The 27,577-nt window shown below is 42.7% G+C and overlaps 2 pseudogenes across 1 annotated transcript; one reads left to right on the top strand and one right to left on the bottom strand.

The window, feature by feature from the left end:
- The first annotated feature begins 5,674 nt into the window (after nucleotides 1-5,674).
- Nucleotides 5,675-11,949, top strand: GAS2L1P2 (growth arrest specific 2 like 1 pseudogene 2; annotated as a pseudogene). Its single transcript, NR_002942.1, is given in 3 exon segments — nucleotides 5,675-5,759; nucleotides 8,178-8,333; nucleotides 9,929-11,949. The product of NR_002942.1 is annotated as a growth arrest specific 2 like 1 pseudogene 2 (transcript).
- On the bottom strand, nucleotides 16,851-20,026 carry TCEA1P1 (transcription elongation factor A1 pseudogene 1; annotated as a pseudogene).

Below are 27,577 nucleotides of genomic sequence, written 5' to 3'. Positions count from 1 at the left end.
ATGCAACTCAGGAACAGCCAGATGGAAGAGATGCATAGGGCAAGGTATGGGGGGTTCTGTGGAGCTTCCATGCCTCCCAGGCATGCCACCCTCTCAGCAGCTCAGGGTGTGTGTCACCCCAGAAGCTCTCTGAATATCATTGTTTGAGCATTTATAGAGGGTTCAATCTTTAGCACCCCTTATCCCTTCCCTGGAGGTTGGATATTAGGGCAGAAAGTTCCAACTCTCTAACAACTTGGTCTTTCTACTAACTAGTCCCATGCTAAGGCTGTCTTGGGGTTCACCCTAAGTCACCCCGTTACCATAAGCTCAGGTGTGATGAAAAGGGGTTTGTTATGAATGACATAAGATGCTCCTGTCACTCGGGATATTCCAAGAGTTTAGGAGCACGGTGTCAAGAACTGGGGAGAAAGAGCAGATTTTTTTTTGTATTATACCACAGTTTTCAACATGTAATAGTGAGCAAGAGCAAGTCTAATTACACAGGCTGAGGCTTCCTGAGCCCAGCAGAGGTCATCTGCTTGGGCTGAGAGGTATGTGAGCACTTCTGGCTACTCAGAGAGGAGAGACCTTAAGGAACACCTTGGCATTTCAATGAAACTATAGAAGAGTGAAGACTACATCTTAGCAAAAGGACCATGCCCTAAGATTAAGCTCAATGCCATCATAAACCCAGCCTATCAAAGTATGAACAAAGCCAGACAAAAAGGGTTTCCAGTAACTCAACTGACTGCCTGAACAAAACTCAAGGTCCTAGAGATGAATAAAAACACAATCCAGAAACCACATAACATCGCATCCCCACTGTCCAGCACACGGTCATGAACCAGTAGACCTGGGAACCTGGACAATGGAATCCAAAATCCTGGGAAGAAGTACCCATAAAAATACCTGAGAGGATACAGATCTTGGAATTAGCAGACAGATTTTGAAGGAGCTATTTTGAGTTTATGGACTTAAATATTATCATAAGGAGTGAGCAGATGGGAAATTTCAGTAAACTAAAAACTGTTTTTTTAAAAAAGGAAATCCTTGGCTGGGCGCAGTCGCTCACGCCTGTAATCCCAGCACTTTGGGAGGCCGAGGCGGGCAGATCATGAGGTCCAGAGATCAAGACCATCCTAGCTAACACAGTGAAACCCCATCTCTACTAAAAATACAAAAAATTAGCCGGGTGCGGTAGCGGGCGCCTGTAGTCACAGCTACTCAGGAGGCTGAGGCAGAAGAATGGTGTGAACCCAGGAGGCGGAGCTTGCAGTGAGCCGAGATCGCGCCACTGTGCTCCAGCCTGGACGACAGAGCGAGACTCCGTCTCAAAAAAAAAAAAAAAAGGAAATCCTTGAACTTTAAAGCTGAGTATTTGGAATGAAACATTACTGAATGGCTTATTTATGAACTTGAAGATAAATCCATAGAAAGTATCCAAACTGAAAATTGGAGAAAAGAATAGATTGGACAAATGTGAACAGAGCCTCAGAAGCACTAATTTCATAAATTATGAAACCTCTGTGTAATGAGACACAGGGGAAGGACTAATGGCAAAATCTTTAAAAAAAATAACGGCTAAAGATTCTCAAAATACAGTGGGAAATACCACCTTATAGACCCAAGAAGCTCAGTAAAACCCAAAGAAAGTAAATATGAGGAAAACCATATCTAGGCAGAACATAGAAAAACTTTTGAAAACCAGAAAGAAAAAGAAAACCTTAAATACTGAAAGAAGGAATAAAAAGGCAAGTTACACCATGGAGAACACCAAACAAATGACAGCAGGCTTCTCATCAGAAACAGTGGATGCCCGGCTATGAGGGAATGATGTCTTCAAATGATGAAATTTTTTAAAAGTATAAACCCAGAATTCTCTATCAAGGAAATTATATCTCAAAAGTTAGGATGAAATAAAAACATTTAAATAAATGAAGATATTTCATTGCCAGCAGATTTGCACTAAAAACAAAAAACTGAGATAGTTTTTCAATCTGAAGAGAAATCATATCACACAGCAACTTGGATACATAGAAATGAATGAAGAGCATTAGAAATGGTGAATATATGGATAGATTTTTTTTAAGACTACATTTTTCTTAGCTTTTTTGAAAGTTTAAGGCACAAATGACAGGATTATATCCATCATATGGGATTTATTAATATGTAGCTATAAAATATATCACAACAATGACAAAAAGGACAGTAAATAAGTGGAATTCTATTGTTGAAAGGCTCTTAAAGTGAAGTGGTCCAATTTTAACTCTAAATAGATTGCGATAAACTGAGGATACATATTGTAATCCCTAGCATAGCCACTAAAAAATGCAATGAAATATAATAAATATCCAATAAAATAATAAAAATGGAATATTTAAAAATATTTGATTAATCCAAAAGATGGCAAGAAAAGTGAAACAGAGGCCCAAATGAAAAACAAACAAAACACAGCGGGCAACTAGAAAATGAGTTTTTAGGTGGTAATCTTACACTTAATCATTTCAAGAATTGTATTCATACTGAAGTGGGGACAGTGGGCATTAACAACTGGTTATTTCAAGAGATAAAAGGTGATATATCACAATCTTAATACAGGTTAATTTCTCCAGGAAACACAATCATCATAAAGATGTTTATACCTAATAAGAGAACTTCAAAATACACGATACAAAAACTGAGAGAACGAAAAGAAAAAATAGACAAATCCACAATGTTGCTTGGAGATTTAACAAGTGTCATAGCGACATCTGTCAACTAGAGTAAACTATAGTGCCCTGTGTTGGTTAATTTTATCTGTCAACTTAACTGGGCCACAATGTGGCCAGTTGTTTGGTCAAACGCTATTCTGGGTGTTTCTGCAAGGGTGTTTTTGGGTGAGATAAACATTTAAATCGGTTGACTGAGTAAAGCAGATTGCCCTTCCTGATGTTGCTGGGCCCCATCCAATCAGTGAGAGGCCTGAGGAGAAGCAGAAGGCTGACCCGCCCCCAAGTAAGGGAAGATTTCTGCTATCTAATGACCTTCAAAGAAGGACAGTGGCTTTCTTTATTTCCTGCCTTTAGACTCAAACTGAAACATTGGCTCTTAGGATATCGAGGCTGCTGGCCTGTAGACTGGAACTATACCATTGGCTCTTCTGGTTCTTGGGCCTTAAGACTCACACTGGAACTACACCATCAGGTCTTCTAGGTCTCCAGCCTGCCAACTCACCCTGCAGATCTTGGGACTCTCCAGTTTCCATAATTGCATGAGCCAACTCCAAATAAGTAAATAGATAATAGATAAGTAACCAAAAATTAAACAAATATCAATTAAGTAAATATACATGTACACACACATATACAGAAATCACAGACACACAAACACACCTACATACACACATACCCTATTGTGCTTTTCTAGAGAACCCTGACTAACACATGCCCAGTTGCTTCAGCAAACACCAGCCTAGATGTTGTGGGGAAGGTATTTTTTAGATGTGATAAACATAGTTTGAGGCTTTGAGTAAAGTCCATTACATTCCACCCTCCATAGTATGGGCAGGCCTCATCCAATCAGTGGGAAGCCTCAAGAGAAAAGATTGAGGTCCCCCCGAGGAGAAAGGAGTTCTGCCTCCAGACTACCTTCAGATTCAAGACTGCAACATATACACACACATCATAATGGTTCTATTTCGCCTAACAATGCTAATCCAAAGTTTGCTACCAAGAATAGCTCTACAGGAAAAAAATCTTAAGAATAAATTTTCTGGATTGGCTCTGAGGTTTCTGGAATTGGTTCTCTAATCTGATTAGATTTAAAGACATCAATTACTCTATTTCCATTAGTGAAGAGAGCACTGGCATGATCTGGCAATAGAGACACACACAATGTCACCATTAGATACTCTTAATCAAAAGCTCATAAAAGACAAGCTACTGGGTGACCATATATTTAATATGTTATAATATTTTTTCAAACTAATGAATAGAATAAAATTTGCTAATTGCTTCTAATTGCATTGGGGAAAGAAAAGGATGAACTCAGGGATTCAGTACAAAGGGTGACCCATGAGGAGGTTCACTACAGATGGATAGATTGCAAAAAATTTCTCCCATTCTATAGGTTGTCTGTTCACTCTGATGATAGTTTCTTTTGCTGTGCAGAGGCTCTTTAGTTTAATTAGATCCCATTTGTCAATTTTTGGTTTTGTTGCAATTGCTTTTTGCATCTTTGTCACAAAATGTCCTGAATGGTATTGCCTAGATTTTTCTTCCAGGGTTTTATAGTTTTGAGTTTTACATTTAAGTCTTTAATCCATCTTGAGTTGATTTTGTAAGGAAGAGGTCCAGTTTCAATTTTCTGCATATGACTAGCCAGTTCTCCTAGCACTATTTATTAAATAAGGAATCCTTTTCCCATTGCTCGTTTTGGTCAGGTTTGTCAAAGATCAGATGGTTGTAGGTGTGCAGTCTTCTTTCTGTGGTCTCTATTCCATTGGTCTATGTGTCTGTTCTTACACCAGTACCATGCTGTTTTGGTTACTGTAGCCTTGTAGTATAGTTTGAAGTCAGGTAGCATGATGCCTTCAGCTTTGTTCTTTTTGCTTAGGATTGTCTTGGCTATTGGGGCCCTTTTTTGGTTCCATATGAATTTTAAAATAGTTTTTTTATAATTCTATGAAGAATTTCAATGGTAGTTTAATGGGAATAGTATTGAATCTATACATTGCTTTGGGCAGTATGACCATTTTCAAGATATTGATTCTTCCTATCCAGGAGCATGGATTTTTTTTCCATTTCTTTTTGTCATTTCTGGTTTCCTGGAGCAGTGGTTTGTACTTCTCCTTGAAGAGGTCCTTCTCTTCCCCTGTTAGCTGTCTTCCTAGGTATTTTATTCTTTTTGTGGCAATTGTGAATGGGAGTTTATTCATGATTTGGCTCTCTGCTTGCCTGTTTTTGGTGTACAGGAATAATTGTGACTTTTGCACATTGATTTTATATCCTGAGACTTTGCTGAAGTTGCTTATCAGCTTAAGAAGCTTTTGGGCTGAGACAATTGGGGTTTTCTATATATAGGATCATATCATCTGCAAGGAAAGATAGTTTTACTTCCTCTCTTCCTATTCGAATACCTTTATTTCTTTCTCTTGCCTGATTGCCCTGGCCAGAACTTCCAACACTATGTTGAATAGGAGTGGTGAGAGAGAGTATCCTTGTTTTGTGCCAGTTTTCAAGGGGAATGCTTCCAGCTTTTGCCCATTCAGTATGATATTGGCTGTGGGTTTGTCATATATGGCTCTTATTATTTTGAAGTATGTTCTTTCAGTACCTAGTTCACTGAAAGTTTTTAACATGAAGGGATGTTGAATTTTTTCAAAGGCCTTTTCTGCATCTATTGAGATAATCATGTGGTTTTTGTCTTTAGTTCTGTTTATGTGATGAATCACATTTATGGATTTGTGTATGTTGAACCACTCTTGCATCCTGGGGATGAGGCCATCTTGATTGTGGTGGATAAGGTTTTTGATGTGCTTCTGGATTTGGTTTGCCAATATTTTATTGAGGATTATTGCACCAATGTTCATTGAAGATACTGACCTGAAGTTTTCTTTTTCTGTTGTATCTCTGCTAAGTTTTGGTATCAGGATGATGCTGGCCTCATGGAATGCATTAGGGAGGAATCCCTCCTTTTCAACCATTTGGAATAGTTTCAGGAGAAATGATACCAGCTTTTTTTGTACCTCTGGTAGAATTCAACTGTGACTCCATCTGGTCCTGGGCTTTTTTTGATTGGTAGGCTATTTATTACTGCCTCAATTTTAGAACTCATTATTGGTTTATTCAGGGTTTCAATTTCTTCCTAGTTCAGACTTGGGAGGGTGTATGTGTCCAGGAATTTATCCATTTCTTCTAGATTTTCTAGTTTATGCACATAGAGGTGTTTATAGGATTCTCTGATGGTTGTATTTCCGTGGGGTCAGTGATGATATTCTTCTTATCATTTCTGATTATATTTATTTGAATCTTCTTTCATTTCTTCATTAGTCTAGCTAGTGGTCTATTTTATTAATTTCTTTAAAAAATCCAGCTCGTGGATTCATTGATTTTTTTTTTGAAGGATTTTTTTTGTGTGTCTCTATCTCCTTCAGTTCAGCTTGGATCTTGGTTATTTCTTGTCTTTTGCTAGCTTTGGGGTTTGTTTGCTCTTGGTTCTCTAGTTCTTTTTGTTGTGATGTTAGGTTGTTAGCTTAAGATCTTTCTAGCTTTTTGATGTGGGCATTTAGTGTATAAATTTTCCCTTGACACTGCTTTAGCTGCATCCCAGAGATTCTGGTACATTGTATCTTAGTTCTCAATAGTTTTAAAGAACTTCTTGATTTCTGCCTTAATTAATCAACAAGAGTCATTCAGGAGCGGGTTGTTCGATTTCCAGGTAGTTGTGTGATTTTGAGTAAATTTCTTAATCTTGAATTCTAATTTGATTGCACTGTGGTCTGAGAGAATGTTTGTTATGATTTCATTCCTTTCACATTTGCTGAGGAGTGTTTTACTCCTGATTATGTGGTCAATTTTAGAGTAAATGCCATGTGGCAATGAGAATAATGTATATTCTGTTGTTTCAGGGTGAAGAGTTCTGTAAATATCTATCAGGTCCACTTGATCCAAAGCTGAGTTCAGGTCCTGAATATCTTTGTTAATTTTCTATGCTCTCTTAACTAATACGGTTAAATCTTCATTGAGACCATTGACAAACATGGAGTTAAGTGCTACTTAAGTGGCATCAGTCTGTTCTTTTGAGAGACCAGAATTTTATTTAAATATTACTTTCTAGTTTGTTGGAATAACCATGAACTAGTCTGCCTTCTCGTTGAGCACAAGCCAAAATTTTATTCCAATCTACTGGCTTTGGAAAAGCCATGAGAATAACTTTAATTAATGTGTCAACCAATTCTTTGGCTTTTTCTATATCTTGGAGCAAATCTTGATTTAAATCATCATAAGAGGCCAAATGTGAGTGGTGGGTGCCTATAGTCCCAGCTACTCAGGGGACTGAGGTGGGAGGATCATTGAACTCAGGAGTTCAAAACCAGCCTGAGTAACATAGTGAGTCTCCATATCTAAAGCAATCAATCAATCAATCATCAGAAGGATTTTCCCATCCTGCCAATTTTTGCCCAATGTCTCCCTCCTCCTGGTCCCACCAGCAAATGTATCAGCTGATAGAAATTGAAAACTCTAGGACATAACTTGTACAGACTGTCGAGAATTCCTCGGCAAATCTGAGAGGTCCTCAGTCACCTTGGCAAATTATTTGGCTGTCGTATCACAGGCAACTCAGAACTGGACCAGAGTGTAAGATGCCACCAGTAAATTCTCTTTATTTGGGGAGTATTGGAAGGGGTATGTAGGAATTGGGACAGGGGTAGGGAAGGTCATCATAGGGATTGCTAGTCTAAGTTTTGGTTCAGCTGTTTTAGGTGGCTGTAAAGGGGAGGGAATAGGAATGTTGGAGTTCTGCCGGCGGGGCATATGATAAGGCTGAGCATGAACATTCTCCTGAAGATTTGATTATTATTTTTTGTGACAGTGTCTTACTATATTTAGCCCAGGCTAGACTTGAACTCCTAGGCTCAGTGATCCCCCCGCCTCAGTCTCCTGAGTTGCTGGGACTACAGGAACATGCGTGCCCAGCCTCCTGAAGATTTTTATCTCCTGAAGATTTTTATTTAAATGCTTGTTTTCTTTTACTAACTTAGAAACAGTGTCTTGGGAAAACTCTTTTAGATTTCATGGTCTTTTTTATGTGTATCCCTTCTGAATGCTAATTAAAGTATGCTTCCCATACATTCTGAGAAGTGCAAACCTTTTTATTTCCAAGATGTTATCTTTAAATATATATATATGTTTGAAAAGTTCAAATGAGCCTCCAAGGGGCCACTGTAACTCCAAACTCTGGTCCTTGTCTTTACAAACTGTGAATAGGTTTTTCCTGACCCACTGATGCAAAAGGACTCTTCTGCTAACAATTAAAGAATTCTTTATTTATGAAATAATCTGGCAAACAATTTATGTAATCTAAATAAGTTTCTATCGATGTGAGCCCTTGCTCTCTTGGGTGGTACAGTCTCTCATTGGTACCCAGGTTGCAACCCACATTCCTGAGTAAACACTTATTGGCCTGACCGGCTAATTCCTCCTTTTTATTACTAGGGAAGCCATGTGACTTCATCCTCCGTGGCTCTGGTGGTCTCTTCGACATCTGTGAGATACTCACTAAAAGCTGGTTGCGCTTTGAGATCTGGGCGCCTGCTGGAACCTGGAGCCACAAGTCTTCATTCATGCTAAAGAACTCCTGTCTTGGTGGAGGTATTTGCCTTTGTTTGAGTTTCTTGGTACTGCTCTCCATCTTTTTGCTTGCTCTTGCTTTGTTTTAAGTTCGGACAAGGTGAGAATGGGAGCCTCTGCTTCTAAGCAAATTGAAAGTCCCCTCTCTCCAGGGACTCCAGCTGGTTACATGTTTAAACATGATGGCCCTCTTCTTGTTCTTTTTATCTAAATGACACAATTTCACTAACCAGAGCTTGGAGTTACAGTGGCCCTTTGGAGGCCTTGTATAATGTGTTGTATACTGTTAAGAGCATGGCTGCTGGTGAAGAAAGTGTTTCTCATAGTTCCTTTGTGGGTCTCAGAGTTCCCTAGCAGTTCAGTATGGAGTCAGCCCTGATGACAGGACTCCCTGATGTCAAGCCTGCAACGGTGCTAAGCTCACGCTAGTCAGGCCCCTCTAAGCCCTTAAGGTACCAACCTGGGGCTCTGACCTTGGCCTGCTTATTCAAGACTCTGTTGAGTCAAATTAGGCAAAATTCCCACCACTACCAAGGTCTCTGATCATCCTTGATACCTGATCAAATTCCTCAGCCCCTACCGTCAATATCGTTATCATCCCGGCCCGCCGTTAGGAGGCCGCAGCGGCCCGGCAGATCCAGCTGTGGCTTGCAGGCGCCTCCCTGCTGCGGGCTAGGCCTGGCTCCTGCCTCTGCAGGGGCGATGCTTCCCGCGGCCGGTGGATGAGCCAGGAAAGCGGGGAGACCCCCAGTACTCCCTGCCCGGGGCCAGACAGCAGCGTTAGCAGCCTCTGTTACCTGGAGCTGTGTGACCTTGAGCGGCTCTGCACCCCCTCTGGGCCTGGGCCATCAGTTCTGACCCACAAACGACGGCCTGGGGTTCTGGGGAGCTTCTTGGCTGAGGGGGTTCTGGCTTTCGCGGCTCGGCTGCTGGATCGCCGAGATAGGCCGCGCGGCGCAGCCTGGACGCCCTGGCTCCACCCACAGCTCTGAGACCTCCAGCGAGCTCTTACCCTTTCCGCGCCTCAGTTTCCTCATCTGTAAAATGGAGATAATATCACCATGCACTCAGCCCTAGCCACTGCATTGCTGTTACTGATACCATTACTGCTGCTACGTCGTTTTTTTGATGGCTCAGCCCTTAGGGAAGGGGGATCAAGGGAGAAGCCCGGACCTTCCCGCAGGAGGTGGGCTGGGCACAGCCCTGAACCATGGAGGTCACCCACCCTGAGGTCGGGACCTGGGTTCCCTTCCTATCCACTGGGGGTCCCAGCCGTTGTCTTCATCTCTCCAGGTCCCAGCCCTTCACAGTGGGCACTTCCCTGCCTGTGACGGAGGCCCCAGCCATCTCCAAAAAAAAAAAAAAAAGGCTGTGTAGCCAGTATTTATGGACGCTAAGTTGCTTATTAAAAATTATCCCATTGAATCCTACCAAGCAGGTAATTTACTGTACCCATTTCGCAGATGAGGAAACTGAGGCACTGAGGTTTCTCAGCGCCAGCAGGTAAACCAGACATTTGGCCTGAGTGACAGGCCGGTGCAGTGCTCTGCGGCTTAGTCTGCACTGAGCGCCTGCCGGGTCCTCACAGCGATCCTGGTTTGTACCCCCGCCCACAGTGGCTCGGCTGGCCCGTGTATGGGAACCCATGAGGCTGTCCGCGCATCCCGAAGTGTGACCTTCCAGGCCCACAGGGTGGCTGGCGCTGGGCTTCTTCGTGGCCCGCGACAGTCCGGCCACCTTCATCGGCCAGTGGCGCACGGATCTGGGCGACTCCGAAGTGCTCCGCGAGCTGGCAAGGGAGACACTGGGACTCTGCACCCGCTCAGCTCCCCAAGATAAAGGCCTCGGAGGGGAAGTTCCGCGTGGGAGACTCCGGCCTGTTGGTCTCTGTGCTGGTGCGGGGGAGCCGCGTGACGGCGCGCGTGGGTGTGGCGACCCGCTGGAGCGCTACCTGGACCGTCAGGACCCGCGCTGCCGCTCCTCCACTACCCACTGCCCGCCCCCGTCGAGGGTCCGCACCCTGTCCCCGCAGAGGGTGTCGCCCACCCCTAGCCCCTGCCCTGGTAGCCTGGTCCCCTCGAGAGAGCGCCGGCGCTCCGGGCCCTAGGTGACCCCTATTCGCTTACAAAGCATAAAGCAGGTGCCGAGGCTCCCAGGCCCTGGGATCAGCTGCCCGCCGCATCCCCGCTCCTACTCCGAGGACAGTGACTCCTCAGCTTTCTCAGCCCAGAGCCGCCCCCTTGGTGCCCGCAGCGAGGATGAGGCACTAGGCCCGGAGGAAGCGATCCAGACGGGGGCTGACCACCACCACCTGGCCTCTCCGAGACGGCCCCCTGCCCCGCGCAGCCAGTCCCGGGACCGGCTGGATCCGGGTCAGCCCCGGGGAGCTCCAGAAGAGAGAGGAGGGGAGCCCAGCTGCGGGCCCTCAGCCCTGCCCCGTGGGCGCAGGAGCAGGTTGGGCGCAAGGATGGAGATGGGCAGCACTCGTGGGAGCCACAGGGCAGGGGCAGCGGGGCTCGGGCAGGAGCACTCCTGGGCTCTCCGTGCCCACCACCCTGAAGCACCCTGGCTTTCCCAGTCCAAACCCAGTGTAGAGTTTAGCACCACACGCGCCAGCGTCTTCCGCACACACCAGAGCAGCTGCTCTGACGCCTGGACGAGGAGTTTCTGGCCAATGCCGGGACCCATAAGGCTGTTGCTAGCGGGACCTCCACTAGACCAGCCCCTAACCGGGCTCCAGCCCCAGACCCTCTAGCTCCTGACTCGGCCTACAGATCCTCTAGTTCCTCCTCTTCATCCCTCATTCTCTTGTATGGCAAACGTGGCCAACGTGGGGACTCTGGCCTTAAGACCAATGGGCTGCCCGGCCCGCTGTCAAGCCCTTCCCAGCTCCTCCTCCAATGAAGGAAAGCCCTGCCCTAGCATGGGAGGGGCTACTAGATGCACCTGGGAGCCCCCTGACTGGTCCAGAACACTCGAGGACCTGAGCACTGGGTAGGATGGACACACAGCCAGACTGCAAACCCTCGGGCATCCCCATGCCTAGGGTCTCCCCCGGGTTCCTCCAGACCCACAGAGTTGGGGGGTGCGGGGGGAAGGGGAAGGGAGCTTGCATGCCTCCAGCCAGGTTCCTGGACCAGACCAGCTGCCCCCAAACCCTGTCCCTTCTCCTTTTCGTTTGTGGCCTTAACCCTCTTTGCATCAGGGGGCCCCCTCTGCCTCTTGCGTTCCTGACCTCATGGGACCAGACTCCTCAGGAATGTCACAATGGGACCTCTATTGTACATTACAGTTGGGGGATGAGCTTTGCTATTTAATTACTAATATTATTGAATGCCTTAGAGGAGGCCAGAGCAGCCTGGTATCCTGAGGACACGTGGCCCAGCAGAGCCTCTGAACAGTAAAGTTTTGCTCCAGCCAAAATGAGAGAGAGAGAGAATCTATTAAGTTAGTTTAACCAGAACCCCCCTTATCCCTGATGCTTCCTGTTAGTAATTTTGTATCCAGTGACCCCTGTCCCTTGGCCATAAATTCCTACTTGTGCTTGTTCTATTTGGAATAGAGCCCAGTTCTGTACTGATGTCTCTTTTCCCCAACTGAGATAGTTTCTAAATAAAATTTGCCTTTGCTGCTTTAACTTCTATCTGACACTGGTTTTTGCTTTTTTTTTTTTTTTTTTGACAATAGTCTGCCCTGCCCCATGATCTTGCCTCGGCCATCAGTCTGAATTCAAAACATTCTCCGCAGCTAGGAAAGGCAGCACAGGGGGGTTTTCTTCCGGAGGAGGAGAGAGCTTTCAGGAATGGCCTTGAACAACAGAGATCATGAATGCCTTCCCCCTTCCTGGACCTTCCAGTTACTAGGATTTTGTTTTTTCTCTCATTATTGCAAAATCAGTGTGTCCTTTTCAGCAATCATTACTTTACATTTTTGAAATCATACCTGACTTTCATTCAGACATGTCGTCAGGAAGGATTGTCTGGAAGAGGAATAAAAACATTGTCGCAGGAAAACATTATTATGCAATTTAAGTAAAAAGACATGCCACATTCAGAAATTAGGACGAAATCTTGAATTTAAAAAAAAATTCAAGGCCGGGTGCGGTGGCTCACGCCTGTAATCCCAGCACTTTGGGAGGCCAAGGCGGATCACGAGGTCACGAGATCGAGACCATTCTGGCTAATATGGTGAAACCCCGTCTCTACTAAAAATACAAAAAATTAGCCGGGCATGGTGGCGGGCACCTACATGTAGTACCAGCTACTTGGGAGGCTGAGGCAGGAGAATGGCGTGAACCCGGGAGGCGGAGTTTGCAGTGAGCAGAGATGGCGCCACTGCAATCCAGCCTGGGCGACAGAGGGAGACTCCATCTCAAAAAAAAAAAAAAAAAAATCAAAATGGGTTTACACAGATCACCTTGCTTTACTGAAGTGCGTACACCAGGAGAAACATAAGGAAGGCTGTTGTTGCAAGCTGCAAGTAATCCAGAAAGCCAAATAAAATAATCAACAGACAGCAGCAAGACCCCCAAAGGGGGTCAAGAGTCCAATCTGCCAGGAGTGGGCAGGGAGTTCAGAGTCCCTGTGATGTGTTCACCCCAAACTTGTTTGGGGCAGAAATCACAAGTTTAGGAATGCAATTAGTTTTTGGGTCAGACATATGAGGCTGATCAGAAGCCTGATTGCAGATGGTCCTGTAAGAGAACAAGCCCTTTCTTGTGGGCATTTGTGTGTGATGCACACAGTCCAGCCAGCATCCATGATGTTTTCTTAGTTTGGGATCCCATGCAGGCATGTCCTAATCTGCAGTGATACCAGAGTCTGAGTTCTGTTTATTGTGCTTATAGAGTTTTTTGTCCAGCACAGTTTGTGCTGAGGCTGAAAGAGCCAGCAGCAGATAGTGTAAGGTTTCATCTCAGAGTCAGGTCCAGGCAATTAGGATCTGTGAGTTAGGATACCCCACAAAAAGCCAACAGATTTTGTTCCGCTGTAGCAAAGCCAAAGCCCTGCAGAGTGGGAAAGCGGTGTTGCTGGTCCCAGTGACGGGCAAGGCTTTCCTAAGCCCTGTTTGGCTTGTTATTTGCTGAGTCCAAATGGACCCACTCAAAAATATGCTCAGAGGCCAGAAAATTATCAGCCTCTAAGGCGCAGGCATCTGATCTTACAAGAGCTCATTAGGAACTAAAAACTAATATTTAAAATTCTAAAAGTGTATCTCCAATTAGAGAGTGCCTGTCTTTTCATATTGTCTCCCCTTTTTCAGAGGCTCCCATAGGTGAAAATCATACTAAAAATTGTCAGTTATGGAAATTATTTTCCTTTTCATATTCAAAAACTTGCATTTCAATTCCCTCACCAGCTGCAACAAGCAAGGCAGTTGTATACCATCCTGGGTTTTGTTTGCTTTTGGCAGCTTCCCTGATGAGGATGATTCCTCCAATGTTTATGAAATTACAAGCATAGAATATGGTTTTTATCATATATCTAGATGCAGTAGCCATAAGACACAAAGCCAGCTTTTAAAAACTCTCTTTCATTTCAAGTTTTTTAAATTTTCCTTTCCAAGTTTACTCAAACCTTCAACAGTGCAATTGGCATTTGAGAGTTAACATTACAGCTGCCAAGAAATGCCTAGAATGGGGGATAGGAGACTCTCGCAACATCTGAAATGGGTTTTTCTTTTCTTTCTTCTTCTTTTTTTTTTCTTTGTTTTTAGGAGTTTTTCTTTTCTTTTTTCCAGTTTATCTAATGCTTTGCCCCAGCCCTAGTACCTAATTTAGCTTTTTGTAGAAGAGAACAACACAAACTTTTAGCATTTTAGGTCCACCTGAAATTCACCTTTGGGAATGCTTGGGCCCCTTCTTTTCCTACCTAGAGGGAAAAACAAAAACCTAAGGCAACACCTGGGCTTTTTGTTTTTTGCCCAACTGGCAGGTGTTTACCAATTTACTCTTCTACTGCCAGGATTTGAAAGAACACAGGCTTTCCACCCAAGTTTCTCTTTAGAGGTTGGAGAATGTGCTGTGCACAGCTGAGAATTTGACTCTACGCTGTTTTGTATTTATCTTTTCTTAATAAATATATGTAACATAAAATTTGCCATTATAAGTATTTTGAGTTACAATTCAGTGGCATTAACGACATTTACAATGTTGTACAGTCATCACTGCTATTTCCAAAATTTTTTCAAGAATGGCTACACTCCAGATCTGAAGCTATTCTAGAGCAGAAACACACATCAGGGTGGCACTTTCATCACTCACATAAACACACCCTGCAGACCCCAGCTTCCATTGTTCATATACACACACCCTGCAGACTCCAGTTTCCATAGCTCACATACACACACTGTGCAGACCCCAGCTCACATCGCTCACACACACGCACCCTGCAGACCCCAGCTCACATCTCTCACATTTACACACCCTGCAGGTCCCAGCTCACATCTCTCACATACACACACCCTGCAGACCCCCCCAGTTCACACTGCTCACATACACACAACCCTGCAGACCCCAGCTTCCATCGCTCACGTACACACACACTGCAGGTCCCAGCTTGTAGTGGAGGTGATTTTGTTTCCTGTGATTCCTTGAAACTCACGAAGTCTGCTCCAAGTTCTCTTCACCAGTGGAATGACATTACAGTGCCCTCCTTGACAAGGAAATTTTAGTGATTGGCACCTGCTTTGGCTCTTAGTCACTGTGAAAAGTGGTGATTTCACAACTGTGATAGTTATCTATTGCTGCATAAAAATACACAATTTCTTATCACACAGTGTTTACGATTGAGGAGTCCAGGCACAGCTTAGCAGGTCCTCTGCTCAGGGGCCCCCCTGAGGCTGTAATCCAGGTGTCTGATAAGCTGCACGAGGAAAGAGTCTGTTGTTGGCAGAATTTCAGTTCCACGGGCTGAAGGACTGAGGGCCTCAGTTTCCACTGTCTCTTGACAAGAGGCTGCCCTCGGTGCCCTGCCCGTTAGGCACATGGACCCTCTAAGTTCAGTGCAGTGGGTAGGAGCAGACATGTGAGCACTAGAGTGCTTTAGAGAGGTATTCCTGGATAAAAAGCACTGATGTCTAAAGACATGGAATTATCGTTCTCAGTAGAGCAACATCAGTACTGAGAAGACAAATTCATCATCTACTGGTACCTACTTCTATGCCTGCAATAGCTATTTTTGTCTCAATTTTTAAATTATTCTTCAGCTTCCCAGCTGCTAGAAGTGGAATAGTCATCTTTGTGAATGAAAATGACTAACCCTTCCCGACAATTCCAACTCCCTCCCAAACAAGGCTCAATATTTCTCATTTGTTTTAATTTCAAAGGAACATATATGATTGTAAGACCAGGCACCTGTGGCTCACACCTGTAATCCCAGCACTTTGGAAGGCTGAGGCAGGAGATCACCTGAGGTCAAGAGTTCGAGACCAGCCTAGCCGACAGAGTGAAACCTCATCTCTACTAAAAATACAAAAAATTAGCCGGGTGTGGTGGTATGTACCTGTAATCCCAGCTACCCAAGAGGCTGAGGCAGAAGAATCACTTGAACCCCGGGGACACAGGTTACAGTGAGTCAATGTTGTGCCACTACACTCCAGCCTAAGGAACAGAGTGAGACTCTGTCTCAAAAAATATATATATGATTGTAAAATGACTTCAGTACAACAGTGTAAGGCATATTGTTAAAGAAAAAAGTGCTAAACCAAATATAATATATACTTTATGGTGGGAAAGAAAAAGAGAGAATAAGAAGCTCTATTTCTACTTGGTCTGATATGCATAAATATGTCTGGAAAGGTTCATAAAGAAACCAACAATGCATATTATAGGGATAGGGATGAGGGTGGAGAAGCGACCCATATATTTTCAAACCTTTCATTTGTTATATTTTTTGGAAGAGGTGTGGAACCAGCAACTTACCTGTTGAAAAAAAGTACTTTGTTTAAATTATGACAAAAAGGCCTGGCACAGCAACTCACTCCCGTAATCCCAGCGCTGTGGGAGCCTCAGGCAACAAAAATTAGCCAGATGTGGTGGTGTATGCCTATAGTCCCAGCTACTCAGGAGGCTGGGGCAGAAGGATCGCTTCAGCCTGGGAGGCAGAGGATGCAGTGAGTCAAGATCGCACCACGCACTCCAGCCTGAGCAACGCAGTGAGACCCTGTCTCAAATTTTAAAAATAAATAATAAATAATTTTTAAAATTAAAAAATTGTTCCCTACACAGCATCCTAATGTCCCTATCAATGCTAGAGATAATTGCCAATATTCTTATAGCAACTTTCAACCAGGGCTTCTCAACCTCAGTCCTGTTGATTTTGAAGCCAATTAATTCTTTGCTACGAGTTGTTTATCAGCATCCCTGGCCTATTCATCTAGGCATGAAAATCAAAAATATCTATTGACATTTGTCAATGTCCCCTGGTCCGAAATCTCCCCGAGTTGAAGACCACTTTACTAGACTCTCTCTATGCATATTGCTACATCTGCATATCAAAATACACATATGGTAATTTGTGGCATTTTTCACAGCTTTTCTTCATTCTTAAATTCATTGTTCTAAAAATATACTTTATTTTTGAAAATGATAAAACAAAAGCTTCAACTATGAACTGACAAAATAGAGGTGAGTTGGTACCGGTGGGCCAATTCTTAACATGGACATTTTAAAATGCTCTGTTCCATATTACATTAAAATGATTTGCAATAAGAAATTGAAAGGGGGCGCAAAGGAGGGTGCAAAGCATGTACTGAGGTCTTTCTACAGGTAAGTGATAGAACGCTGATTCAGCATGATAAAATGTACTTTGCAACAGTGGCCTTCAAAGTGTGCTAGAGCAAGCGTACCCCAAGGAACCTGTGAAAATCATTTTTTAATTATTCTAAACAGAAAAAGTGGTACCCACTTAAACACAAAGTAAAACTTCATGGTAAGATCTGCTGTAAAGCTACTTGCTATAGCCCACAGATTCAGTTTGTTCAACAACCTCCCTCATTGACAGAAAAAGTCAGCAAATAAGACTTAGGACAAAAATGTTTTCTATCAACCTCCACGTGAAAAGACCACAGCTTTAATGATTTTACAATCCTTAAGCTTAACCACTGGTCAGTCCAGATTTCCATATCAAGATCAAGTCATGAGCTGTTCACAATAGCTATTCTATACTAAGATGCTAAACGTTTTCTTTCCAGTATGTCTTCCTATGAGGGAAATAAAATAGCGGGAAGTTTTCCTCTTTGCCTGTGAGGGGATTTATGAAAAGCCTTCTAATCTACAAGTGTTCTTCTGCAAAACTAAAATACATTATGAAGTCAAACAGGTAAATTAACAACAAAACCAAACTGATCTCAACAGTCTTGTTTCCAAAGTAAAATCTATTAAGAACAAGTAATATATAAGCACAAGAAATTACAAGAAATGAGGATCACAGTTGGTTACAGATGCAAAGTAGTATCTAGCATCCCAAGCTTTTGGACATAATAATTAAAATCAAATTAATAAGTTAGTTCAAATATTATGTACAATTTTGATAAGCTGGTCACGTGTTATTTGAATACACACCATATGTGGTAAACCTAAAAGTATATTACCTTTTCTCCTCCTTTAATATTTGTAGATACATGCCAATATGGGAAAAAATTTATTTCCATTTATGTACTAATAACAGAGAATAACAGAATTTCTACTGTGTATATTTCACACTGTTAAAAAAAAAGTTGGCCGGGTGCAGTGGCTCATGCCTGTAATCCCAGCACTTTGGGAGGCTGAGGCGGGCAGATCATAAGGTCAGGAGTTAGAGACCAGCCTGGCCAACACAGTGAAACACTGTCTCTACTAAAAATACAAAAATTAGCAGGGCATGGTGGTGCACACCTGTAGACCTGGCTACTCAGGAGGCTGAGGCAGGAGAATCCCTTGAACCCAGGAGGCAGAGGTTGTAGTGAGCCAAGATTGTGCCACTGCACTCCAGCCTGGGCAACAGAGTGAGACTCCATCTCGATAAATAAATAAATAAATAAATAAACAAACAAACAAACAAACAAACAAATAAATAAATAAATAAATGGCCAGGCACGGTGGCGCATGCCTGTAATCCTAGCACTTTGGGAGGCTAAGGCAGGCGGATCACAAGATCAAGAGATCGAGACCATCCTGGCCAACATGGTAAAACCCCGTCTGTACTAAAAATACAAAAATTTGCTGGGTGTGGTGGTGTGCACCTGTAGTTCCAGCTACTCGTGAGGCTGAGCAGGAGAATAGCTTGAACCTGGAAGGTGGAGGTTGCAGTGAGCCGTGCCACTGCACTCCAGCCTGGTGACAGAGTGAGACTCTGTCTCAAAAAAAAAAAAAAAAAAATTAGGGTATATTTTCCTTTAAGAAAGAAAAAAAATAAATTGCCAGAAGTTTAATTTATAAAAGTTTAATATCGACTTATTTATAAAAATGAAAAAAAGTTTTAAAACAGATCCCATACAATTATCCTGTGGTCTCCCTACTGATCAGGAACTACAGAAGACAATTAAGGAAGGGATGCTGGGTCAAAAACAAAGCCTAACCCGCGGGATGTATGTTGCTCTAAAAATCTGATTTGCAGGAAAACTAGTTGCTTGTCCTAGGTTTAAGCTAATTACAAAATCCGTTTTCTTAGTGGTCCAGATATTTTGCCAATTTTTGCATCTCAACAGAACTTCTGTTGATTTCCACATTCATTACAGTCAACAAACGTTGTCATTGGTTCACCAGCACTGCAGGCTTGTACCTGTGTGGAAGTGCAATTCTTCTTTTTACATTTGGCACATGTGAGCGAATCAGGCTGGGTTCCACCTGTCTTGGCCATCTGATGCTCTCTGATGGCTTCTTTCGTCAAGTTTTTGTGCATCTCTTTGAGCTCATCACTAGCCATTTCTTCTGCTGTCATTCTAGCAAGTAAGTCAGGAGGAATATTCCCACACGGTGCATTTTTCCTTAAATCTGGATTCTTTGCATCTGTAAGATTTGATATCTTACTTTGGACTCTATTTTTGTACTTCATGCCTGTATTCCCTCTTTCTGGATCTATTGCTTCCTCAGTTCGAGATCCTAATTCTTCCTCATCAGTTCCCATTTCAATGCAGTCATCTCCTGTTCGAAGGGCTGCAGGAAGCATCTCCCTGTACTTCATCCGCACAGAATCAGAAGTGCTTCGTGCCAAGGAACAGATGAAACAAGTATCTCAAGCATTTGTCTTATCCTTTCTGCCGCTTACATTGCCGCCGGAGCTACTTTCTTTTGCTATTCTGCGATGTCATTGCAGGTTCTATTTGCTTTTCTTTAGGGTCTTTCTCACTTGATGGCTTATCTGGTAACTTTTTCCAGGATTTGACGAGAGACTTTGCTAAAGATGTAACTTCTTCATCTGCACTCTGCTTGAGACTAACATTAAGTAACATTCCAGTTCCTGTGGACCGCAGTAATTCCAGAACATTCTGAAGCTCTGTTAACAAACCCAGTGCTCCGGCCGTGTTCTTCTCCTGCACCATCTTGTCCATCTTCTTGGCACTGCGGGCCACCTCATCTTCCGTGGCTCCGGCAGGTCTCCCCTGTGCCTAGCCCGCTGGCAAGGGGAAGTGGGCGAAGCTGGAGCAGAGGAGAGGGCGCGAAGCAGCCCCGTCGAGGCAAGACCCACCACCGCAGGTCGGGCCTAGGCCTCCTCCTAGACCAATCCCGCCGCGGCTCTTCCTTCCCAGGCAGCGCCATCCCAGCTCCGCACCTTTCCAGCTTCATTCAAGTATGACTGACAAATAAAAATTGTATATATTTAGGATATGCAACATGATTTTTTGTTTTGTTGTGTTTTATACAAATAAGAAAACTGCAGTTCAGAGAAATATTGCATTTTGAATGCCTAACTTTTCTGTCAATGCTTTCAACATTGCTTTTCTTTACTTTTGATTGACAAATCATAAACATTTATGGGGTACAATGTGATGTGTGTATATATAGGATGATTAAATCAAGCTAATTAACCTATCCATCACCTCACTTCTTTTGCTTACCACAGAACCATAAAGTCCAAATCTCTCTCTCTCTCTTTTTTTTTTTTTTTTTTTTTTTTTTTTTTTTTTTTTTTTTGAGACAGGGTCTCGCTCTGCTGCCCAGGCTGGAGTGCAGGGACACAATCTCGGCTCACTGCAGCCCTGACCTCCCAGGCTCAAGTGATCCTCCCACCTCAGCCTCCTGAGTAACTAGGATGACAGGCTCGTACCACAACATCCAGCTAATTTTATGTTTTATTATTTTTGTGTGTGTGTGTGTGTGGAGATAGGGATCCCCTATGTTGCCCAGGCTGGTCTCAAACTCTTGGGCTTTAGTGATCCACCCACCTTGGCCTCCCAAAGTGCTAGGATTACAGGGGTGAGCCACCATGCCTGGCCTCTTCTTTTTTAATGCAGGCATTTCTTGCTATAAATTTCCCTCTTAGAACTGCTTTTGCTGCATCCCATAAGTTTTGGTATGTTTTGTTTCCATTTTTCTTTGTCTCAAAATGTTTCATTTTCCCCTTTGATTTCTTCTTTCACCCATTGATTGCTTAGAAGCATGTTTGATTTCCATGTATCTGTGAACTTTCCCGTTTTTCTCCCGTTATTGATTTCTAGTTTCATAACATTGTGGTCCAAAAAGATACTTGATATGATCTATATCTTCTCAAATTTATTAAGATTTGATTTGTGGCCCAACATTTGCTCTGTCCTGGACAGTGTTCCACGTGTGCTTGAGAAGATGTGCATTCTGTTGTTGTTGGATGGAATGTTCTATTTATGTCTGTTAAGTCCATTTGGTCTAAAGTTAATTCAAGTGTAATGTTTTCTTTCTTACTGTTTTCCTGTCTGAATGTTCTATCTATTGTTGAAAGTGGAGTATTAAAGTCTCTTGCTATTATTGTATTGCTGTCTATTCCTCCCTTTAGATCTGTGAATATTTGCCTTATATATTTAAGTGTACCCGATGTTGGGTGCATATTATTTACAACTGTTCTGTCCTCTTTATGAATTGACTCCTCTATCATTATATAATAACCATCTTTGTCTTGTTAGTTTTTGACTTAAAGCCTATTTTGTCTAGTATAACTACCCCTGTGCTCTTTGCTTTCCATTTGAATGGAATATCTTTTTTCATCCCTTCACTTTCAATCTGTGTGTAGCTTTAAAGGTGAAGTCAGTCTCAGTCTCTTGTAGCAACATATAGTTGGGTCTTGTTTTTTCTTTTTTTTTTTGAGACTCAGTCTCACTCTGTCTCCCAGACTAGAGTGCAGTGGCACAATCTTGACTCACTGCAACTCTGCCTCCCAGGTTCAAGCAATTCCCCTGCCTCAGCCTCCCTAGTAGCTGCAACCACAGGCATTCGCCACGACACCCGGCTAATTTTTGTATTTTTAGTAGAGACGGGGTTTTACCATGTTGGCCAGGCTGGTCTCGAACTCCCAGCCTCAAGCAATCCACCCACATCTGCCTCCCAAAGTGCTGGGATTACAGGTGTGAACCACTGGGCCTGGCCTTGTTTTTGTATTTTTTAAATCCATAAAGCCACCCTGTGTCTTTTGATCAGCAAATTTAGTTCATTTACATTTAAAGTAATTATTGATAGAGAAGGATTGATTATTGTCATTTTGTTCATTGTTTTCTGGTTGTTTGCAGCTCTTTCATGATTTTTTTCCTCTCTTGCTATCTTTATTTGTGATTTGAGGATTTTCAGTAGTGGTATGCTTTGATTCCTTTCTCTTCATCTTAGTGTATCTGCTAAGTTTTTGCTTCCTGATTGCTATGAGGCATATTAAAACATCTTATAGTTATAATAGTCCATTTTAAGCTGATAACAACTTAACTTTGATCCTGTATAAAAGCTCTGCACACACACATACACATTCTGTTTTTGATATCACACTTTACATCTTTTATGTTGTGTATCACTTAATGAGTTATTGTAAAGTTACTCTTAATACTTTTGACTATATATGTACCTTTACCAGTGAATTTTATACTTTCATATGTTTTCATATGATTAATTAGCAGCCTTTCATTTTCAGTTTGAAGAACTCCTTTTGGTATTTCTTGTAAGGCAAGTTTAGTGGTAATGGACTCCCTCCCTCTGTTTGTGTGAAGAAGTCTTTATCCCTCCCTTATTTATGAAAGAGAGTTTTGCCAAATAATGTATTATTATTTTGGTTTTTTAATAGGATCATACTATAAACATTGTTCTGAAGTTTGTTTTTTTTGTACTTACAGTTATCCTGCACACCTTTTCATTACACACAGATACAACTATACACACAGATACAACTCATTCTGCTTAACCATCACATGTAACCATAATTTAAAATCTCATTATTGATAAACTTATAGATTCTTTTCAGTTTTTTATATTATAAACTATGCTACAGAAAAATCTTTGAATATGTGAATATAATATCCATGCTTGTGTGACTACTTTTATAGACTATAAGTGGATTTATTGAGGCAAACAGTATGTACTTTTTTACAAAGCATAAATATTCCCAATTTTTTGGTCAACAAAATTACATCAACTTACCAGTAAATGAGGGGACCCACTTCTCCACACTCACACCAACCCTAAATATTATTTAATCTATTTAATTTTATAAAACTTAGAGGTTAAAAATAAGAAGTTATCTTACTTTAATTTGCATCTTTTGGATTTGAGAGAAGCTGAGCATCTTCTCCTGGAATCTTGTCTCCTTTTGTTTTCACTGTGAGAAAAATAGTGGCCATAAGGTGGAATCCCTGGAGGAAGTATGGCTTCCCCTCCTAACACCCTGACTTCATCAAAGTTTCATCACATCGGAGGAGGAGCAATGAGATGTCAGTGTCATCTAAGACAGAGGTGGAAAATTGAAGTGCTGGAGGGCCCTATAGGAAAATACAAATGTTCAAGCAAACCTGTAGATAGCATAGAGGACTTTGGCAACTGGAGGGAGCATGTCTTATCAAAAGGAATTCACAGCTGGGTGTGGTGGCTCACGTCTGTAATCTCAGCACTTTGGGAAGCTGAGGTGGGCAAATTGCTTGAGCCCAGGAGTTCCAGACCAGCCTGGGCAACATGGCAAACCTCACTTCTACAAAAATATAAAAATTAGCCAAGCGTGGTAGCACACACCTGTAGTCCCAGCTCCTCAGGAGGCTGAGGTAGAAGGATCGCTGGAGCCCAGGAGGTCAAGGCTACAGTGAACTGAGATCATGCCATTGCACTCCATCCTGGGTGACAGAGTAAGACCCTGTCTCAAAAAATAATAAAAAAAAGAATTCGTGTTTTAAAAATTGTTCATGGTTGGGCACGGTGGCTCCTGCCTGTAATCCCAGCACTTTGGGAGGCTTAGGCAGGTGGACCATGAGGTCAGGAGATCGATACCAGTCTGACCAACATGGTGAAATCCCATCTCTATTAAAAATATAAAAATTAGCTGAGTGTGGTGGCGCGCACATGTAATCCCAGCGACTCAGGAGGCTGAGGCAGGAGAATCACTTAAACCCGGGAGGCGGAGGTTGCAGAGAGCTGAGATCATGCCACTGCACTCCAGCCTGGGTGACAGAATGAGACTCCGTCTCAAAAAAAAAAAAATTGTTCATGATTGTGTAGACTCTTACAGGTCAGTGGGTCAGATCTGCACAACTTGCACCAATTTGCAAAATGTACTGGATTTTGGATTCTGTAGCAAATGAAAAAATTTCTGTTTAAAATTCTAATTTTCAATTAAAATTTTTGACTTTTAATTTTTAGAAAACATGTGAAATACATTTTCTTCATTACCTGAAAAGGGATACCAAGTAAGAACAAGCATGAATTTGTCCAGAAGCAAGTATTAGGAGTGTGCTAATTTTTATATTAACAGATACCTATACTGAAACATATACATTCTGAGAATTCTTAAACCTTTCATTAGGTTGAACCATGTAAAATTGCACTTTTGGAGGTCGAAAATTTTCAAATTTTTGGTAAACCAAAAACTTACCTATTTTTTTCTTTTTTTTTGAGACGGAGTCTCACTCTGTCACCCAGGCTGGAGTGCAGTGGTGTGATCTCGGCTCACTGCAAGTTCCACCTCCCGGGTTCACGCCTTTCTCCTGCCTCAGCCTCCCGACTAGCTGGGACTACAAGTGCCTACCACCACACCCGGCTAACTTTTTGTATTTTTAGTAGAGACGGGGTTTCACCGTGTTAGCCAGGTTGGTCTCGATCCCCTGACCTCATGATCCGCCCACCTCGGCCTCCCAAAGTGCTGGGATTACAGGCATGAGCCACTGCACCAGGCCTCCATAGCCTGTTTATTTTAAGATGTCCATACCTTTCCACAGGAAGGTGGGAACAATACCATTGAAGTGTTAAGACTCACATGAATTCGTTTATTTGTTTTATGATCTGATTCAGGCTCTTGCTCCATCTGTTTGTTCAGCTAATTGCCAATCAGTGTGGGAGTTTGGGTAGTAGTTTTGGTAGAAGCCTAAATCAAAGCAAACAGCTGTATCTCTTACATGAAACGTCTGCCTACAGGGTTGATTTTTTTAAAAAAAAACAAGTTGTACTCTTCAGAGAAGGCTTTTCAGCTGTGAATAGAAATGACTAGGCCCTGGCAGGCAAAATGTTCCATGTTGCTCTGAGGTATGAAACATTACCTGTTTGGTGAAGCCACATTACATAACTGCTGAACCTGGGACTCTCCAACCAAATGATTCATCAGTTTTATGGGGCCAAATGATTCATCAGTCAACATCATTATTTTGTCACCACCAATTAGCATTTGCAGGGTACCCACACAGAGATGACACTGGATTTGATGCTTGACAGAACACAAGGAAGACAAAGAGTACAGCTGATAAAGTAAACTGTTGGAACTATACATCTGAATATGAAACAAAGCACAGGCATACCTGTAAATCCATGCCTGCCTGAGCCACACGTGGTGGAATAAACTCACGGAAACTCACCATGGAGCTTCACAATGGTTCTTTGTGTTGCAACAGAGGATGAAGCAGGTGCTCTTCCACAAGGAAGATGTGAGAAAGGCTCCAGGTCCCCTTGGGAATCCCAGAATAGACCCTAAAACTTTGGAAGGGCCTTTGTTGAACACTGAGTCAAACTCCCCAGAATCCTTTTACAGAACCCCTGTCCAGCAAGTGACCAGTGAGTCTCTAAAGACTTTGAGAATTTGCAGATTCTAGGGAAGACTTCATAGGTTCAGAGATGGGAATTTTGGAGCATTCTAGAAAAATTCTGGAATACAAACAAATTTGGAATTATCATAGGAAGGCTATTATGCAATTATTTTCCAGTTAATAGCTCTTAATAAGAGATCTAAGGTGGCCATTGGAGTTGAACCAAGACAATCTTCTTCCATTGTTGCCATTCTAATTTCAGAGTTCCTTGCTGTTTTATTCCTCCTCAATTCCATTTTGGACTAGTTAGAGATAGAATAGAAAGAAAAACTGAGCCACAAATTCCATTTTTCCCTGCTTAAAGGGTAAACATCTGCCTGAGAAGCACACTCAAGTTTTCCAGAAGATTCCAACAGGGGAGTCCCAGTTTATAAGCAGGTTGTGTGTCTTTGGTGTGTGGTCAGTCAGCTGTGTGGAAAACAAGATGTATTTTCCCCCAAAGATGGTGCACTTAGTGGTTGGGTACTGAGGCTTGTACATGACAACCTGCTTAACTGGGCGCGCACCTGAAGGGTGGTGCCCTGTCAATGACATACAATGCAGCCTAGCCCTTGTGGGCCACAGTATTTCCCTAGGTAGCCAGGCACACACCTGTCCCAGTGCAGTAGGATCAAGGCCTCCCTCCCTCCCTGCTGCCCAGTGCAGGGCATTGAGAGATGATGAGCTCTTCTCAGCACCATGTCCTAACGGTGCAGGCTGGGAAAGAAGAGAAATGAGATTGGGGGGTTCAGTTAGCCTCTGGTGGTGAGCGGGGCTGGAGTAATCTTCTTGTCTGTCCAAGTAGGTTTTCCATTCCTCCAGCCTAACAGATTTGTCTAGCATTCTTTCTTTGCTAAGGATTTGAAAGTAGCCTTGGTGGAGAATGCCCAGCCCTGTGAGGTTTTCTGAATGTTTATAGCCAGTAAGGAAGCAGAATGTAATGAGATGGAGAGCCTCTCCTGCCCATTTGGCGATGTGGGGTTTCTGGTCCCAGGACCAGGTGCACACACTCAGGGACAATGACAAAGGCCAGAGTCTACAACTCTGCAGCTGGGGAAGCCACCCAAAGATGGGAGCCAAGGAGCAGGGGTGGAAGCTGGTGCTCTGTCCTCTCCTTTCCCCTCCAAGGATCCAGCCCCTGTCCAGCCTGGGCACTGGTGAGAATCAGGCCAGTGTGGGTGCACCAGGGTGTGCTCCTCTGTGGCAACCTGGGCGGTGGAAGGGAGCAAGCACCTCCAGGGTGGTAGAGAACGAAGAATGGTGTCTCCAGCCATTGGTGGCTCCAAATGGGGAATTTGGTGGGACAAGATGCACTCAAGAAGCTTTAAGAAAAATAAAATCAACTTTCATATTATTCATTGCCTTTCAAAAACTATGCTTCTATACATCTCTGATGAAAAAAATCAATGACCCAATAAAAATGGGCAAAGGATATAAACTGTCTATTTTAGAAGATATACAAATAGCCAGTGTGAAATTAGAACAAAACGCACTAATGATCAAACCTGAATCTCAGAAGCATTGTGCTAAGTGAAGGAAGCCAGACACAGAAACATACACACATCTATTCTATGAGATTCTAATAAAGGCAAAGCCATAGGGACAGAGCTGATCAGTGTCTGGCAGGGTCCAGGCTTCTGTTCTTCTTCATATTCTAAATAATTATTGTGATGGTGGTGGTGGTGACACAATTGTATGCATTTTGTACGTATGTATTCAAAACTATCAACATGTATACTTAAATTTGGTGAATTTCATTGTACGTAAACTATACCTCAATAAAGCTGTTAATTAAAAAAAGATTTTAAAGCCTAATCATGGATATTAAGCAAACACATAGTTTAACCTGGTTAGCTCTAAAAAAAAAGGTCCTTTTTAGGTCTAAAAAAAGACCCAACTCCTACCTGTTATATTTTATAAATAAGAAAATGGAGTTCCAAAGAGATTATTATTATTATTATTATATTAAATATCACACAGCCTGCTAGAGGTAAAGCCACATTCCAGCACTCAGACCTGTGTTTTTTCAGTCTTGTCTTGTCTTTCTCTTTCTTTTCCTCTCTTTCTCTTTCTTTCTTTTT

This window comes from Homo sapiens, chromosome 9 (genome assembly GCF_000001405.40).
Source record: "Homo sapiens chromosome 9, GRCh38.p14 Primary Assembly".
Taxonomy (NCBI): Eukaryota; Metazoa; Chordata; class Mammalia; order Primates; family Hominidae; genus Homo; species Homo sapiens.
Note: the sequence above shows the minus strand (reverse complement) of the source record. Positions and strands in the feature narration are given on the sequence as shown.